This window comes from Homo sapiens, chromosome 12 (assembly GCF_000001405.40).
Source record: "Homo sapiens chromosome 12, GRCh38.p14 Primary Assembly".
Classification (NCBI taxonomy): domain Eukaryota; kingdom Metazoa; phylum Chordata; class Mammalia; order Primates; family Hominidae; genus Homo; species Homo sapiens.
The window spans coordinates 108,664,850-108,683,954 of NC_000012.12; the positions used below are offsets into that span (position 1 = coordinate 108,664,850).

General features: G+C 38.9%; 1 protein-coding gene and 1 pseudogene across 3 annotated transcripts in view; one reads left to right on the plus strand and one right to left on the minus strand.

Moving 5' to 3' along the window:
* Positions 1-19,105, minus strand: part of CORO1C (coronin 1C) — an 86,410-nt gene that overhangs the window by 19,741 nt on the left and 47,564 nt on the right. For all 3 annotated transcript variants that reach the window (NM_014325.4, NM_001276471.2, NM_001105237.2), the window contains exon 3: positions 13,423-13,545. In NM_014325.4, coding sequence (NP_055140.1) covers positions 13,423-13,545 — 123 coding nt within the window. The remainder of the gene's footprint in view (positions 1-13,422; positions 13,546-19,105) is intronic.
* Positions 3,599-3,659, plus strand: RNU7-169P (RNA, U7 small nuclear 169 pseudogene; annotated as a pseudogene).

The following is a 19,105-nucleotide window of genomic DNA, read 5'->3' on the forward strand; positions in this document are numbered from 1 at the left end:
GTGACTACTAATTTGATCAAAGCATGAAGTCGACAGAAAAACAATTATGAAATGGGACTTCAGTGACTCAACAGGAAAAGCATTTTGCAAGATGCACTGTGACCCCACTTAGAACTGACAGAGTGGTAATACCACCTTCAATCTCCAGATGGCACCCCAACCATGGCCTGCTGGGTTTCCTTGCAAGGACTGAAAACGCCTCTGTGTCTCACTCTGAGCACAGCTAGTGCATTTTCCAAATCACTAATGAGACGTGGAGTGATGGGAGACTTTGTTTATAATCAGCATTTCCAACCTTAAAATATGAGGGCAGAAGCAGAGCTCATAATGGGGACTTAACCTTTTCCTTTCTCTAGCTTCTCCCCATCATCTTTTCCTGGATTAAAAGAAAATTTTAATGATGAAGCAACATTTATTAATTTTTAAAATAAGGAAACTCTGTGTGTTCCTTCTTTACCTCACCTCCAGCTGGTTTAACGGTTCCCTCAGCTGGGTTTATTCACATAAGACAAGCACCTAAGCCATTTTACTACCTTGGTTAACTCTTTCTTGTAACACATTTATTGAGTTACAATAAATTGTATTGTAACCCATCTAGTACTGGGTAACTAAATACAGGCCCTGCTCTTGAGAAGTTGATGGTCTAACAGAAAGCAGAGACTTCTATCAGACTGAAAATCAAAGACAACAAATCCAAGTGGTGTGATACAGACAGTTAGAGAGTGAGCACCAGAGTCAGGCAGAGTCTGGTTCAAATCCTGCCTGGGCCACTACCTGTGATGATCCTGGCAAACATCACTGCATAGAGAAAACATTAGTACCTATGCCTGCGAGGTGTGCTAAGAGAATTAAGGAATTAATTAACCCTCAGCACAGAGCCAGACACACACATAGTGCCTCCAGAATGCAGAGACAGTACACAGCAGGGCTGAGATTATGGGCTCTGGCCAGACTGATGTGACTGAATTCCTGATTCAGTCACATAGTGGTGTGACCTTGAGGACATTCACCTAACCTTTCCAGGACTTAATATTGAACCTGCCTTCTGTGAGGCGGTTTGAAGACTAACATGGTAACATGAAACTGACACATTTAGAAGAATGCCTGGCATAAGGCAGACACTGAGTGTTAGTTGGTATTATTGCACAGTGCAACCAATGCTATGCTGGCATAAGCCGACCGCACTACTACGAAATTAGCTTCCTGCTAACCAAGCTTGGTCCACCCAGGAGGGCTCCCTGAGGAGGTGACCTCTAAGGATGAACAAGACTTAGGTGAAAGTAGAGCAGAATATGAGGAGAAATTGAATATCCAGTCTCAAAATAAAACACGCAGATGTGTAGAGCAATTTTCTAAAAAGTGCATGCAGCATTTAAACAATGCCATAAAGAAGCTGGCTCAGGAGCTGCTAGGGAAAAAGCACCAGAGTGAAAAAGCTAATACTATAAGCACAAGGACTGCAATGCGAGAAGAAAGTGAGTGAAAAAGTCTCTGAAATGAAATAAGAAGACAACAGAATTCTTGTGTCCACTGGTAAAGAGGGGGTGGTGTTCTCTACGGTGGACTGTGGAAAGAGCTTGGGGGTTGGGGGCGGTCTGTAGGTCTTTCCACACTCAGCATACACATGCTCTGGCTGGCACCCAAAGGCCATGCTCACAGGCCTGTCATTATGTGGCTCTCTGCCCTCTTCAGGGTTGTCTGCTACTCTGGGTGATGGCCTGCTCGGTTTGGACTGATGTTCCTGCAGCTCAGGGACAACAACAAACAGAAGCACCACTTGGTACATGTTTGGTCCTCTTGTGTGTAATATGGGATGCTGGCCTGGGTGTCAGAAGACACAGGCTCCTGTCAGAGCTGGGACACTAATTGGTCATGTTAGCATTAAGAAGGGATTTCACTTCTGGGAGCCTGAATTTCCTTAATACTGGGGACAGCTGTGCTTACTCAGGGGTTATTAGAAGGGTTAAATGAGCTCAAACATTTTGCATGCCCCAAAGCACCACCCTAATAGGAAATACTGCAACTAGGGAGAAGAGCATGGGGCTTTCTTTGGAGCTAGACAGATCTGGGTCTGGCTGAGCCTTTTATCAGCTGTGTGACCCTTAACAAAACTGCCACTCTCTGAGCCTGTTTCCTAAGTTGTAAAATAGGCCACACTCATGGCTTACTGTGCGGATACAATAACTAAATATTATCATGCACATAAAGGCTTAGAATAGCGCGTGGCAAAAAAAAAAAAGAGCCTACCATATTTTCATGATGACTTTTTTTGCTGTTAATATGACCACTATGACGCCATATATATTTCTAGGTCTGAACATCAGAATTTCTTAGAATGAGTCTTGTCTTCAAATTAATTCAGCACTGTACCCAATTAATTAATACTAACTAATTTACACCCAAGATATCATTATGTGTGAAAGCTCTGGTTTATACCTAGGCCAATTACCACAGTAAGGACAGATCTGATCTCTGTGCAGGCTTGTTAGCTTTTCTTTGTTCTATGGCTACAGACTGGTACTGTAATACCAACCAGCTTTCTCAAAACTGTATGCAGTGAGTGCAGAGGAAAACAGACACAAAACACCCAGAGTAGGCATCTCAGTGCAGCAGAGAGTACAAGTTATCCCTACTTCCTCTTTTTTATTTTATTTTCTTAATTTAAATAATGCTGTGTGTTCCTAACATTTTCTGTTTGGACAACACATTACTATGGCAATGTTTTGTTTTGAAAGGACAAAAATGAAATCAGAGGAGCTGTGGTGGCTCAGGCCTGTTGTCCTGGTGCATAAGGAAGTGAGGCTCGGCGTTCAAGGCCAGCCTGTGCAACATAGAAACCTCTCATCTATATAACCAAAAAAATGACATTCAGTTCCAAGGGCTCCTACATGAAAAAGTGAATCCATCAGTAAAATCCCATTGTGGTTCTGGAAAAAAACAACTTTAAGCACATGTTCAGAACTACTGTACCATGGGCATCCTTTTCACATGTGAAAGCCTGGATATGGAAAAAGGACAACTCAAGAGAACAATCCCAACAAGAAAAAAGGAAAACTAAGACACTTGGGTTTCTCTCACGTGCTAATTTTAAAGTACAATTAGTTAAATAGTTTTATTTTTCAAATACTGCTTTCCAGACACTGCTTCCCTATTTTAGTCACCCATCATCAACTTGCTACTGGGCTAGGACTAGAGTTACAGCCATAAAAAGGGTTACACCCCCAAAAGACCCTATTTTTCCATTCCTAAGGAAACCAATTCCAAATGGGAAATGAAGAAAATACATGAGACAGGAGAAAGCTTAAAGATGTGGTAGCAGCTGCAGACCAGTACAGCGTCCTACAGACGCCCACAAAGGCCTGCATGTAGGGCATCAGGGCATTCCCAAATGAACCATGACGTGCAGAGTGGCACCGAGTTCGGGAAAACCAAGAACCGAGTGTTGGGTTCCGATCTGCCAGGGTTATAATATCCTCTGGCAAATGGCCCAGATGCAATCTGTACAAAATGGAATTAAGACGAAGCCCTCCCTGCTGAATGCCTGAGAGGAACCAAAACATCACTTCCATTTTTATTTCAGGGCAAAAACTATATTAGAAAGCATTAAAGCTCTTTTAAAAATTGTCTAGCAGGTTTTCCAGTCTTTGTCAAATGCCTTCCCACCCGCCAAAAAAAACTATATTAGGAAAATTTATAATGGAAGCAAAAATGGATTAGATAGGGTATTTTTGTTGATTTCTACAGAAGAATAAACTGATTTGAGAGAAGGGAGAAGCGTCCTTTAAACTTAAAAATTTGGACTATTCTATAGCTGGAGACAATTAAGACTATCATTTTGCAATATCTTTCCAACTCCCAGACTCTGGAAGGAACAATTATGCAATCCCATTGTCCAAATTAGCCATTTTTTGCATTTGTGTTTGATTACTACCCTGCAGATAAGGAACAATGTTGAATCAACATCATTCACTAAACTTAAGTTGACTGCTCTTTGTATTATTTAAAGCACTATTATTTTCTTGGAGCTAATATTTCCCCCAAGTAAAATACTTAGGTAGCCACAATCTTAAAACTCTCTTTGAGAAGATACTGCTGAAGAAAAGAACTCACAGAGCCAAAACTCTGCAAAGCTAGGAGTGAAGTGTAGTTTCTGGGAGTACAATTTACACAACTGCTGTGTGATAGTATAAAATGCTGTTTCACAAAGTAGTACATGAAAGGTAAACTGTGTCAATATAATTTAATTTTAGGCTGTGTAAAGAAGCCACGTCTAAAAAATGGGGGAATGTATCTTAAGATTGGTGTTCCCTCTCCTAAAACTGCAAAGTAGCTGTCACTAAATCAATGCCCACAAAATTAACAAATCAATGCTTAAATGCTTAGGACTTCATGGATTTATACCATAAGTAATACAAAAAGCAGTTTTTAAAAAATTACTTTTATTCTTTTACAGTTCATTTGATAAACTGGTTCTACTGTATTTTTCTATGAAATGTCTATTAAAGGTACTCTTGCTGCTAGGAATCCACTATAGGTATCCATCAAAATCCCCATTACAAAAAATAACAGTCCATTATACGTTTACAGCTTCCTTTTGACTCTCGATAGGCATATTATTATCATACCTCCATATTATATGGAAGGCAACTGGGGCTGAGAGCGTTTAAGCGAAGCGACCTGCAAATGCTCAGAACTCCTACTCCCAGGATCTCCTTGATATCCTTCTTCTACTAAAACTAGGCCTTGTTATACTATCTACTATTTGTAGCTCATGAGCTACTACCAATAGCCTAGGCTTGAGAAACTACACAGAGCTTTTCCGTTAAAAAAAAAAAAAAAAAGGCGGGGGGTGGCGGGGGGTGTTGTCTGAAACCATTTGATCTATAATACAGTGTTCTTTTACCTTCAGAAGAGCAAGGTGGAAAATAAGGTATTAAGAAGCAGGTAGGCTAGGAGAAGATCAAACATTTCTTTAAACTTTCATTTCAACTGCTAAGCTATACAAGCTTCAATTACTCCAATAATAACATGATATAGGGGATATTAAGTGATTAAAGGGTGATTTAAATATCAGTTCTATACTTAAAGATTTTTTAAAATTAGAAAGATTTATCCCAAAGCATTATTTAATTTACAAAATGTGCACTCCAGCAATGCCAATAAAAGGGCGACATTGAGGATTCTGGGAAGATGAGAGAATCTCAGTGGCAGCATTTTTTGGGGGTTTTTCCGAAGTCCCTCCGTAAAAAGACAGAGCTAGCAGAAAACAAAACAAAACAAAAATCCAGGGACAACATTTACACAAACTAGGTGATATCCCCAAAATTTAAGCAGGTGGGAGCAAACACCAACAGCCACACGACCTGCATGTGATCAGCCTCGGGTGTGTGTGGGAAGGGACAGCAAGGGGACACCTGACAGACCTGAGGGCAGCAGGCCGGTGTGAGATCAGCAGCAGAAACTGGGAAGGATTTTGCCTTTTCCAACAGAAGCTGGGCACATGGGTACTGAATTTAAAAGGTCTGAAGAGGCAGGCACAATCTAGACCCCAGCACTCTCAAAATCACCCACAGCGGGCTCCCTTCCAGGATGGGCCCACAAAGGAGACACTCCAGGAAATGAAATCGAATTTCAGCAGGATAGCAGTAAGAGGGATAAAAGCATAAGAGAGGCTACATAAAAGCCAGGCTAGGAAATATTAGAAAGCAAGGCACCATGTTTCTGAACACTATCTGAATATGTCAGAGAGGGAGTTCTGTGAAATTAGAGCAGCTATCTGAACCAAGCCACCATTTAAAAAGCTTGGGAAAATTAAATCCACATAAAAATAAGCAAGAAAAAAAAATCAAGGTTGAACTCCAAAATTACTGTCAGAAAAAAAGAAAATAAGACACAGAATAAGATCCCTTTAGACAATATAAGACTGCTAAAAAGACATGCTCAAAAGAGATAAAAACTACATTATAGTGATTCAAAATAAGAAAACAATATATAAAACATTATAAACCAGAACTTGAAAAACTCAAAACAAAGTGACAGACATCAAGAAAAAAATTAGAAATAAATGAAGACAAACCAAGAAAGAACACAAGAGCAAATAAACACAACAAATAATGCCCCCAAAAGAAATAAAAGGAAAAGAGCAAAATAATAATAATAATAATAAAGTCTAAAAAAAAAGAATAAAAAAAAAAGGTTTAGGGCCTGGCATGGTGGCTCACACGTGTAATCCCAACACTTTGGAAGGCCAAGGTGGGAGGAATGCTTGAGGCCACAAGTTAGAGGCCAGCCTGGACAACATTGTGAGAAACCTCGTCTCTACAAAAAAAATAGAAAATTAGCTGGGCATGGTGGTGAGTGCCTGTGGTTGCAGCTACTCGGAAGGTTGAGGTGGGAGGATTGCTTGGGCCCAGGAGGTCAAGGCATGATCGTGCCACTGTACTCCAGCCTGGGTGACAGAGCAAGACCTTGTCTCAAAAAAAGAAAGAAAAGGAGTGGGGGGAGGAAAAGAAAAGAGGTTTGGAGAGAAACTGACAATGACTAAAGAGAAGTAAAGAAGACAAAGCATATGGATAACAGGAGCTTCTGATAAAGAAAACCAAAGCAAAGGAACAGGAAAAAAAAAATTAAAAACTGTAATGCAAGAAAAAAAAAAAAGACTGGAAACTATATATTGAAAGAGCATATCATGGTATCTAGAGATACCAACTCAGAATGACCAACAATCTTCTAGTAAAATTAACTATATTTGAAGAAAAAAAATCTTATGAACATTTAGGCAAAAAGAGCATATGATTTATAAAGGAAAGGAAATTAGATTATAATCTGACTTTGACAGCAACACCTATGCCAAAAGAAAATGGAATAAGGTATTTAGTTACTCAAGGAAAAACTGTGAGTCAATAATTTTATTTATTTATTTATTTAGAGACAGGATTGGTCTCACTCTGTTAACCAGGCTGTAGTACAGTGGCACGATCACGGCTCAATGCAGCCTTGATCTTCCAGGTCCAAGAGGTCCTCCCACCTCAGGCTCCCAAGCAGCTGGGACCACAGGCACTCACCACCACACCCAGCTAATTTTTTATTTTTTTGTAGACACGGGGTTTCACCATGTTGCCCAGGCTGGTCTTGAACTCCTGGGCTCAACCCGTCCACCTGCCTCGGCCTCCCAAATTGCTGGAATTACAGGTGTGAGGCACTGTCCCTGCCCAATCATTTTATATTCAGAGAAACTCACTTTCAAGTAAAAAGATCACAGATAACTTATTATCAGTATACAAGAACTCAGAGAATATTGTTCCCACTCCTTCTTAAGGAATCCACCCAAGAACAAGCTTCGGATGATCCAAATGCCTGGTGCAAGATTGACACAATGATTGATGGAGAGTACTTCAATGTAGTTACTCACAGAACCAAGGGAGGAGAGACTGCTGAATGTAACAGCTATGTGGTCTTGAAAATACAGAATACATCATTTTTAAATGGAGGGATAATAGACACAGCATGGGTTTTAAAAAGTTGTTTAGTTTTTCAACTAAAAGTCGTTTAGTTTTTTAACGATTTTCAGTATCATGGTATGGTGGTGGTATTAGTATTTTCACTCTGAGACTATTACATGTATAACGTGAAAAGACAAATGAGATAGATCAGGATGTTCTAATTCTTCTTCTGTATCCCTAAGACCCTGCATTCTCTGTGTGAAAGAAAGGAGATGGAGATGTAATTAATATTAAAGAGGTTAGGTAAATACAGGCATACCTCATTTTATTGCACTTCACAGATATTGTGGTGGTGTTTTTGTTTTGTTTTTTTTTTTAAACAAATTGAAGCTTTTTATCAACCCTAAGGCAAGTCTATCTGCACCATTTTTCCAACAGCGTATGTTCACTGTCTCTGTGTCACATTTTGGCAATTCTTGCAGGATTTCAAACTTTTTTGTTATTACTGTATCTGTTACAGTGATCAGTAATGTCTGATGTTACTACTGTAATTGTTTCGGGGCACTATGAACTGCACTCATATAAGACAGTGAACTTCATCGATAAACGCTGTGTGTTTTCTCATTGCTCCACCACCTGCTCTTCCTGTATTCCTGTCTCTTCCTCTCCTTGGGCCTCCCTATTATCTGAGACATAACAACATTGAAATTAGGCCAATTAATAACCCTAAATGACCTTTAAGTGTTTGGGTGAAAGGAAGAGTTGCACATTTCTCACTTTAAATAAAAAATTAGAAATGATTAAGCTTAGTGAGGAAGCCATGTTGAAAGCTGAAACAGGCCAAAAGCTAAGCGCCTCTTAAGCCAGTTAGCCAAGTTGTGAATGCAAAAGAAAAGTTCAGGAAATTAAAAGTGCTACTCCAGTGAACACATGAATGATAAAAAAGCAAAAACAGCCTTGTTTTAGTGGTCTGGATAGAAATACAAACCAGCCACAAGATTCCCTTAAGCCAAAGCCTAATCCAGAGCAAAGTCCTAACTCTCTTCAATTCCATGGAGGCTGACAGAGGTGAAGAAGCTGCAGAAGAAAAGTTGGAAACTAGCAGAGGTTAGTTCATGAGGTTAACGAAAGACGCCATCTCCATTATATAAAAGTACAAGGGAAAGCAGCAAGTGCTGATGGAGAAGCTGCAGCAAGTTATCCGGAAGGTCTGGATAAGATCATTGATGAAGGTGGCTACACTAAACAACACATTTTCAGTGTAGATGAAACAGCCTTTTACTGAAAGAAGATGCCATCTAGAACTTTCATGGCTAGAGAGGAGAAGTCAATGCCTGGCTTCAAAGCTTCAAAAGATGAGCTGCCTGTCTTGTTAGAGGCTCACGCAGCTGGTGACTTTAAGTTGACGCCAATGCTCATTTACCGCACCAAAAATCCTAGGGCCCTTAAGAATTATGCTAAATCATTAGGAGATATACCTAATGCTAAATGATGAGTTAATGGGTGCAGCACACCAGCATGGCACATGTATACATATGTAACTAACCTGCACATTGTGCACATGTACCCTAAAACTTAAAGTATAATAATAATAAAATAAAAAATAAATAAATAAATAATTATGCTAAATCTACTCTATGTTCTAGAAATGGAAAAACAAAGCATGAATGACAGCACATCTGTTTACTGCATGGTTTACTGAATATTTTAAGCCCACCATTGAGAACCACCGATCAGGAAAAAAAAAGATTCCTTACAAAATATTACTGCTCACCAACAATGCACCTTATCACCCAAGACCTCTGATGAAAATGTACAAGGAGATTAACGTTGTTTTCACCTGCTAACATCAATTCTGCAGCCCTTGGAACAAGGAATCATTTTGACTTTCAAATCTTATTATTTAAGAAATACATTTCATAAGGCTACAGCTACCACTGATAGTGATTCCCCTGATGGATCTGGGCAAAGTGAATTAAAAACCTTCTGGGCTGGGCACGGTGGCTCACACCTTTGGGAGGCCAAGGCGGGCGGATCGCGAGATCAGGAGATGGAGACCATCCTGGCTAACATGGTGAAACTCCATCTCTATTAAAAATACAAAAAATTAGCCGGGCATGGTGGCACATGACTGTAGTCCCAGCTACTCGGAGGGCTGAGGCAGGAGAATCGCTTGAACCCAGGAGGCGGAGGTTGCAGTGAGCCGAGATCGTACCACTGCGCTCCAGCCTGGGCGACAGAGCGAGACTCCGTCTCAATTTAAAAAAAAAAAAAAAAAAAACCTTCTGGAAAGGATTCACCATTTTAGGTGACATTAAGAAAATTCATGATTCGTGGAAGGAGTTCTAAATATCAACATTTGAGGAGTTCAAGACTTTGGTGGAAGAAGTAACTGTAGATATGGTGGAAATAGAGAACTAGAGAATAAAAAGTGGAGCCTCAAGATGTGAGTGAATTGCTGCAATCTCATGATAAAACTTGAACAGATGAGGAGTTGTTCCTTATGGATAAGCAAAGAAAATGGTCTCTTGAGATGGAATGTACTCCTGGTAACGACGCTGTGAACACTGTTGAAATGACAACAAAACATTTAGAATATTACTTACATAAACTTAGTTGATAAGGCAGCAAAAGGGTTTGAGAGGACTGACTCCAATTTTGAAAGAAGTTCTATGGCAGGTAAAATGCTATCAAACAGCATCACATGCTACAGAGAAAGCTTTTGTGAGAGGCCAAGTCAATCAGTATGACAAACTTTATTGTCGTGGTCTCATCCAGCCCAACCTTCAGCAACCACCACCCTCATCAGTCAGCAGCCATCAACACTGAGGGGAAACCCTCCACAGCAAAAAGATTACACTCTCTTTGGTAATACAGTATTTTTAAATGTATATATATATATACATAATGCTACTGCATACTTAATAGATATAATTTTCCCTTAAAATAAACCAGGACTTCCGAAAGAAATGGCTTGGGCAGGGATGTCCAAAGTGAGCCTGAAACACCTCAACATATCACATAGCAAGGAATCTATCTATCAAAGACTCAAAGACTATGATGGTCATTTCAAAAGGACTCAGAAATCTTGAAGAGGTTTCAATGGGAAAAGGCGAGAAAGTCGGCTTTGAGATAAGAATTATAATGGATTGAACCCATCAAATATGTTCAAATCCATGACTTCAAAATGAAAGGAACGGGGAAAAAAAAACCCTAATTTGTCACCTTCTGAGGATGACAGAGAATCAATTCATTATCTTGAGAACTAGGTAAATAAAAGGAAAGAATCAAGCACTTATCCTGCTTTCCTAAATGAACTATACTATTTGGTAACTAAATAGTAAGTAAGTGAGGACATTATCTTATAAAATTTTACCAGCTAAAAATTGAAAACAAAATGACAGAATTTACTGTCACCATATTGCAACCCCTAGTGAATGACTGGATATAGGCACAGAATACACAAATGGAAAAAGGATGAAACCCAGACACTGTGACATCATGTGCTTCCTAGCGTATGGAAGAACATAATGCGAACAATATAGTCTAGCCAAAAGGACAGAACCTGAATCTGACCGCACTTCAGGTTCCAGCTGCCAATTTGCAGGAAATTCAGAGGACAGAGGAGCAAGCTGAACTGCAACATGAGGGTACAATCAGCAAAATCCAGATGGTTGAAAAGCACAGGTCAAAGGTCAGGGCTTCCGAATAGATAAATTGTAGGGAAAAGAAAATGATGAAGGAGGAATCTTTAGATTAAGACTTAAAAGACTACATATCAAGTTTTTAAAACTGGCAAGACCAATCTAGAGTCTAGAGGTATACACCTGAGTGATTACCACTACAAAGAAAGGCAAGGAAATGAGTATTACAAAAGTCAGGAGAGTGGTTACTTTGAGAGGGAGGAGGGATGTTGTGACTGGGATGGGGCACATGGAGAAGTCTGAGGAGGTTGGGAAAGTTCTACTTTTTGACATGGAAGGTGGTTTCATGGTGTTCGCTATGTCATAAATCACTTAACTCCCTGAGTCTGCTTTTTCACTTAACTATTTGGTGTGTTTTTCTGTTTTATAATACACACTATTTTTTTTAAAAGGATAACGTGACCAGTAATGCTAGAGACAGGGAGAGCCAGAGATGGATCAAACCTGCTTCTTCAAAAGAGGTTCAGACTCTCCGTTTAAGATTCTGGCATCAGAGTTAGGCGCAGTGGCTCGTGCCTGTAATCCCAGCACTTTGGGAGGCTGAGGCGGGGGGATCACTTGAGGTCAGGAGTTCGAGACCAGCCTGGCCAACATGATGAAACTCCGTTTCTACTAAAAACATAAAAATTAGCCAGGCATGGTGGCGCAGGGCTGTAATCCCAGCTACTCGGGAGGCTGAGGCAGGAGAATCACTTGAACCTGGGAGGTAGAGGTTGCAGTGAGCTGAGATCACGCCATTATACTCCAACCTGGGTGACAAAGTGAGACTCCATCCCAAAAAAAAAAAAAAAAATTCTGGCATCAGGTCTAAACGATATTCCTTTCTCTTAACAAAATGCGTCCATAGCCATTAAAATGATCAATTTAGCAAGGCACATTAAACAGAACAATTCCCTTTCACAGCAGCGTATTTCCTTAATATGCTTTAGCTGCCAAAATTATGAGATCACAGGAGGAGACATTCCCAGCCAAAAGCCCATGAGGAAAAGCGGGTAAATGTTTAAATGACACAGTTCAGGAATTAATTTGTATTTATGTAAAATAATTTTAATTAATAAAGCTTTCCAAACAATGTTTCAGTCCACAGCCAATAGAGAGGAAAATAAAAGTAGCATGGTTCTCCAATGCTGACACGTGCGAGACTACCTGACATGTGCGAGACTGCTTACAAATTAATTAGAGACCATCTTCCCTTATTTCAGGGGCAGCAAGTACTCCCATTTGTGTTTATGCCTAACCTTTTCAGCCTACTTTGGGCTAGCATTAAAAACTGATCCAAACCAATAATCACATTTTAAAGTTAAAAATCATAACTAAGGACAAGAAATCATATTAAAAAGTATTCCAAAGCCTTGTTTCACACATAACCTACTTTTGGAAACTAAAGGAGGGAATGTAAAGTACTTAATTCACCTTTCACGTTTTTTGTTTGTATATCTTTATGAAAAGGACTTTCTTAACCAGGGTCCACTGGACAGAACACAGTTCTGCCATTAGCTTGGAAACAAGCAATTGCAAAAACTCTTTTACCACCTGTGACATATCCCATTTTATCTGCATAACTTTGGCATCTTACGTCACTGTCTTGTACAGTCTGTGCCAGCAGTTTCAGTTTTTTCTCTCCTTTTGGGGCGAGGGGAAATTCATGTGGTCAAATGGCATTACAGAATTACTGAAAAGTCACTTTACTTTCCCTAAAATCTTCCAACAGAGAACATGTCAACTGTCAATAAGCACATACACAAACACACTCACAGAAAAGACTGTAATCCCAGCACTTTGGGAGGCCGAGGCAGGCGGATCACTTGAGGTCAGGAGTTCGAGACCAGCCTGGCCAACATGGTGAAACCTCGTCTCTATTAAAAATACAAAAATTAGCCAGGTGTGGTAGCAGATGCCTGTAATCCCAATTACTCGGGAGGCTGAGGCAGGAGAATCACTTGAACCCGGGAGGCGGAGGTTACAGTGAGCCGAGATCATGCCACTGCACTCCAGCCTGGGTGACAGAGCAAGACTCCATCTCAAAAAAAAAAAAGAAAAAGAAAGACACGGCAGACACTGCAGTACAACCTTTTTGATTTAAGGGCTTCTTGAAAGGATTATCTGTAATTAAACTTAAACGTAGTAAATTATTGTAAAATCCAACAGACAGTCAAAACTGCTATAACGTTCTGCTTTTCAAGCCTCTATACATACACACACACCCACACACATGCTTTTGAAAGCAGTAGGTGAGTCTCACTGGCCTGTGTGCACACAACACCCTGGGAGCTTACCATGACCGTGCAGTCCTCTGAACCGCTGGCAATGACCTGATCGTTATGTGGGCACCAGTCTATGTCCAGCACTGGTCCTGTGTGGCCACATACTGTAGGGTAAGATTTGTCAATTCGACCAGTCTGAAAGAAGAGAGAAACAAACCTATTATGTAATATCAACACCACAGACGTTATACATTTTCTCAGGCCCATTTCTCATTTATTACCTCCACCCAAAACTCTCAATTTTCTAGATATGACATCGTATAGTCAATATCAACTTTCACTTCTAGAAAAAGCCACTACCAAGGACATGCGATCAAATTACAAGAATCCAAATCCCTAGAACCAAAAAGATGTAACCAACTGCACTAGCAGACATAGCAAAAGAGAATATGAAAGTCTTTTTGCCAAAATACAATTCTAAATAGCCAAATTGTAAATTAAAAGGATGTTCCATGGCTTAAAAAAAAAAAAAAAAAAACCCTAAACCTTGGTATTATTCAAAATGTTAATACAATAAGACAATATCCTCCAATATATAAATTACCAGTTCTGGAAATGAATGGCACTATTAAAATGTAAAGGCCGGGCGCGGTGGCTCACGCCTATAATCCCAGCACTTTGGGAGGCTGAGGCAGGTGGATCATGAGGTCAGGAGATCCTGGCCAACAAGGTGAAACCCCACCTCTACTAAAAATACAAAAATTAGCTGGTCGTGGTGGTGTGCGCCTGTAGTCCCAGCTACTTGGGAGGCTGAGGCAGGAGTATCGCTTGAACCCGGTAGGCAGAGGTTGCAGTGAGCCGAGATCGTGCCACTACACTCCAGCCTGGCGACAGAGAGAGACTCTGTCTCAAAAAAAAAAAAAAAAAAAAGAAACAAGAAAAAAGAAAAAAAAAAAGAAATTTAAAAAGTTAAAAAAAAAAAAAAAAGAAAAGCTTTAGCTATCATTAGGGCCTAAAGAGCCTACTACATTGTAATGTCTCAGTCTCTCTGCTATCCTCAATCAACAGAAATGCCAGCCAGACAATCTAGTTAACACCAACTTAGACCTCACCCATTAGCCAGTTCCACATCTGATTAAGAATAAAATGCTTAATGTTGGTCATAAATAGCTACCACAATTTGCTCATGTCACACATTTGAATCTAGCAAACCAACCAGGGTTATCAGACCAATTTTGTGTCAACTAAGACAACTGCTATTGTTAACAATGGGTATATGAAAGTGGTTTCCTTTTTAAAATAGCTTAATGCCAGTCCACGCTGAAGCTGTGTATGCTTTAAGAGCAGGTGCACAGAAAGGAACCACTGCAATGTATGGCTTAATCTATTTTTTGTTGTTTTTGCTCTTATATGGCAAATCATCCCAACACTGGAGCAGGCTTCTTAGCAATTTTTCAAGAACAGAAATTTCTATGATTTCTCCAATTTGACTTGACTGTGCAAATCTCCAGGAAAGCAGAACGTTAACGTGTAAAGACCACAGGCTCTGGAATAAGACAGGTAAGGGTTCAAATCCAGGCTCTACTGATTAAACAGGTGACTTTAGACAAGTCATGTAATCTCTCTAAGCTTCACCTCATTCGTCATCTGTAAAATAGTTAACAATGATACTTATTAACTCCCACAATTACCGTAAGGATTAAATGAGAGAACACTTTTAGATAAATCACAATTCAGTATTACAATTATCTGTAAAATAAGTAAAAAAATTAACCACAGTATCTGGAATAAAATATCCAATAAAAGCTGTCACATTATTAGTTCTTCTAGTACAATAATTTACTCCATCATTAAGAATTAACAAATATGTGTTGTGAACTTTTATGGACCAGACATTGTGCTGAGTGCTGGAGATACAGACGTGAACAAGGCAGTCCTGTCCTGGCTAAATGTGGAGCCCAGTGAGAGGAGAGAGACATTTAAACAGCCAATTATGGTGCCACATAGGAACAGAGAAGGAAGACATTCAAGCAGGTTTGTGGGGTCACAGTCTCTGGAGAGGTTTTCTTCTGGGAAAGGTAAGTTCTAAGTTGAGGCCTGAATATGGCCCTGTTTACAGACCTAAGGCCTAGGTTTCTTCACATTCCTCCACTTTCCCTTGCAACCCAGTTTGGATCTTCCAAAACGCATCACCAAAAAAGGACTTCAAAAAAGGAAATTCCAATGAACACCATATCATATAGAATCTGGGTGTCACAGGAAGGAGCCACACAGTTCATTTACAGGCAGCGAAGTATAAATGGTTGAGAACCAGACTGCCCAGAGTGTAGTCATGGTTCTGCCATCTTCTAGCTGTGAAGTCCTAGCCAAATTACTCCATCCCTCAACCTCGGTTCCTCATCTATAAAACTAGAATGTTTAACAGTTTATTCCTTAAGAGCTGATGTGAGGACTAAATGAGACAATCAAGGTAAAGAACTTGGTTCTGCCCCAGCACTTGAAGTACTCAATAAACATTACCCGAAATTTAACAAATGCTGGAATCTACCACATTTCTGATGGTGTCTCTCCTTAAAGAACGACCAGCTACTAGGTCTAAGCCACGTGGTTTTGCTTATCTTATTGCATTCTCACAAAAATCATGCAGGTAAGATGGAGATTTCACTTGCATCCTTGAGTTACTACCCCAGGTAATATTGTTGCTTAAGCTGATGGTACTGGGATCACAGGCATTCATCCTATTTTACATAATTATTAAACTATAGATACAGTAACTCTTTTGAATGTGTGCTCTCTTTCTCCTTCCTTTCTTTCTCTCTCTCTCTTGTTCTTGTCTCACGTTGCCTAGGCTGGAATGCTGTGGCCATTCACAGGCACAATCATAGCTCACTCCTGGCCTCAAGAGATCCTCCTGCCTCAGCCTCCTACATAGCTGGAACTATAGGTGTGTGCCACCATGCGTGGCTTGAATGTGTGATATTTCATAACTTAAAACATCCTAAGGCTGGAAGGCCAGAATGAAGTTTGACACACATTTAAATAGACAAACCAAAAGGAGAGAATTAAAAGAATGGAACAGAGGCAAAAATTAAAGAGATAATGTCTGAGAATTTTTCAGGTTCAGTTAAATGCATAAGTCTTTAGATTTAAGATGCACAAATCCCACCTCCGGCAGTATAAGTGAAAACAAATTCTTATCTATTCATATCCTAGTGCAATTTAGAACACCTAAAACAAAGAGAAGATCCCAGAAGCAACAACAGAGAAAGGACAGATTACCTACTGACAGAGTAATTAGACTGATTGTGAGCAGATTTCTCAGAAGCAATCAGAGAAACAAAAAAATGGAAAACATCTTGGAAATGCTAAGAAAAACCACCACCCTTGTATTCCATACCCAGAAAAACTATCATTCAAGAATGATGACAAGAAAAAAGCAAACAAAAGGCACTGCAGACAAAAAGAGACAGAATTTACCATGGGTAAACCCTTGTTCAAAAAATTAAATTCTTAGATTTGTCTCAAAGAATTGCTATATTAATTTTGAAGAATTAAGTTTAAGGACTCATTTCAGGAAAAGAAAGTAAAGTAGAAAGGTATAGCAAAACAACAGTGAGCAAATAAATAAATAAAGCAAATACAAACAGGTACTATGTAAAACAGTACTAATAATACCAACTTGGAGTACAGATTTTAAAAAGACAGAAACAAAACATTAGACAACAATACCATTTAAGGTAAAAGGCATATGATCAGACTTAAAAATTGACTAATTTTAGACTTTAAATAAAGATATCCAAATGCAGAGTAAATACTAAAAGGAAAGAGAGAGAATGTATAATTTCTGGGGGTGGGTGGGGGTGGAGGTGTACTACAATAGCTAGAATTTAAAAACTGGCTCAATCCAATAGAAAGAGAAAATAAAAAGAAAAAAAGGACCAAAGAAAGTATGAATGCAACTCATGAAAAGCAGAGACAAATTTTTTAAGAAAAAAAAGCATGAAAACTAGAAAGCACAAAGATGGTGGAAATAAAACCAACTATAAATCATGATTTGTAGTAAATGCAAGATTAAGCTCACTAGATAAGACAAGGCCTCTCAGATTAGATTATATCCAGCTACACATATTTTAAAAAAATAATGGCACCAAAAGGCAAATAAAGGAGGGCGGCATATTAAAAAGTATACCTGGTAGTTAATACCAGAACAAACAGACTTTAAGGTGAAATGCACTATTAGCGATTAATGTCACTATCTGACATCTAAAGAAACAATTCACTGGAAAGTTATATTGCCACTATAAACTGTAATTCATCTAACCATATAATTTCAAAATAATTAAGGCAAACGTTGACAGAACTTGAAGAAAATGACAAAGTCATAATCGTAAGAGATGTCAACAAAGATTTAAGAAATTAAACAGACAAAATTAATATGAATACAGAAGATTTTATAAAAATTAACAACTTTGATCTAATGAATATATATAACCTTGTACCTAACATTTAAAAATACACTTTTTTCAAACATACATTAAACATTAATTTGTTTTAAATTATCAATTAGGAGACCACAAAGCAAATCTCAAAAAATACCAAGGAGTCAATAGCAGGTAGAGCATCTTCTGAGTATAATGCAATACAATTAAAAATTAATAGAAAAATAAACCAAAAATCTCCAGTACATTTGAAAATATTTTAATTTACTAAATAATTGTTTTTTAAAAATCATAATGGATAACAGAATGAAAGTTAAAACTGAGCAATACACAACATATCCAAATGTGCAACATACAACTAAAACAGATCTTAGTGAAAAATGGACAGTCTTAAATGCATATAGTAGAAAAGACTGAAAATTAATGCATTGAGTTGCTACCTTGAGAAGTTAGAAAATGAACAGAGTACATCCAAAGAATGTAAAATTATTAGAAAAGATGCCAGGTACAGTGGCTCATGCCTGTAATCCCAGCATTTTGGGAGGCCAAGGCAGGCAGATCATGAGGTTAGGAGTTCGGGACCAGCCTGGCCAACATAGTGAAACCCCGTCTCTGCTAAAAATACAAAAACTTAGCCAGGCATGGTGGTGGGTGCCTGTAATTCCAGCTACTCAGGAGGCTGAGGCAGGAGAAGTGCTTGAACCTGAGAGGCAGAGGTTGCAGTGAGCTGAGATCGCACCATTGCACTCCAGTCCGGGCAACAGTGCAAGACTCTGTCTCAAAAAAAAAAAAAAAGAGGAAAAAAAGAAGTCAGTGGAAAAAAAATAAATAACAAAATCAACTAAACTGGATAGATCAGGAAAAGAGATAAGGCACAAATGAATACCAATAATTTTAAAAGGGACATAACTTACAAATAAAGTAGAAATTTACAGAGTATGAAAACACTAGGAATAACATTTGACAATATATATAAAATTGAATAATCTAGATGAAATACACAATCTCACAGAAGTAAAAGTAACATCAAAAGATTTTCAAGAATAAATAAATGTAAATTAGATCCATAACCATAAAAGATCAGTAGTATAACTCTACCCATCACCACCTCCCAATCAATCAATCAATCAGCAAATACCAAAAAACACTAGGCCCAGATGGTTTTACAGGTGAGTGTCACCAAATATTCAAGGAAGAGATCATTTCAAACAAAGCTTTCCAGAGAACAGAAAAAAGAAAAGTGCCACTGAATTCATCATATAAGGAATGTAACACCTTGATACAAAGGACAGTATAAGGGAGAAAAATTGAAGCCT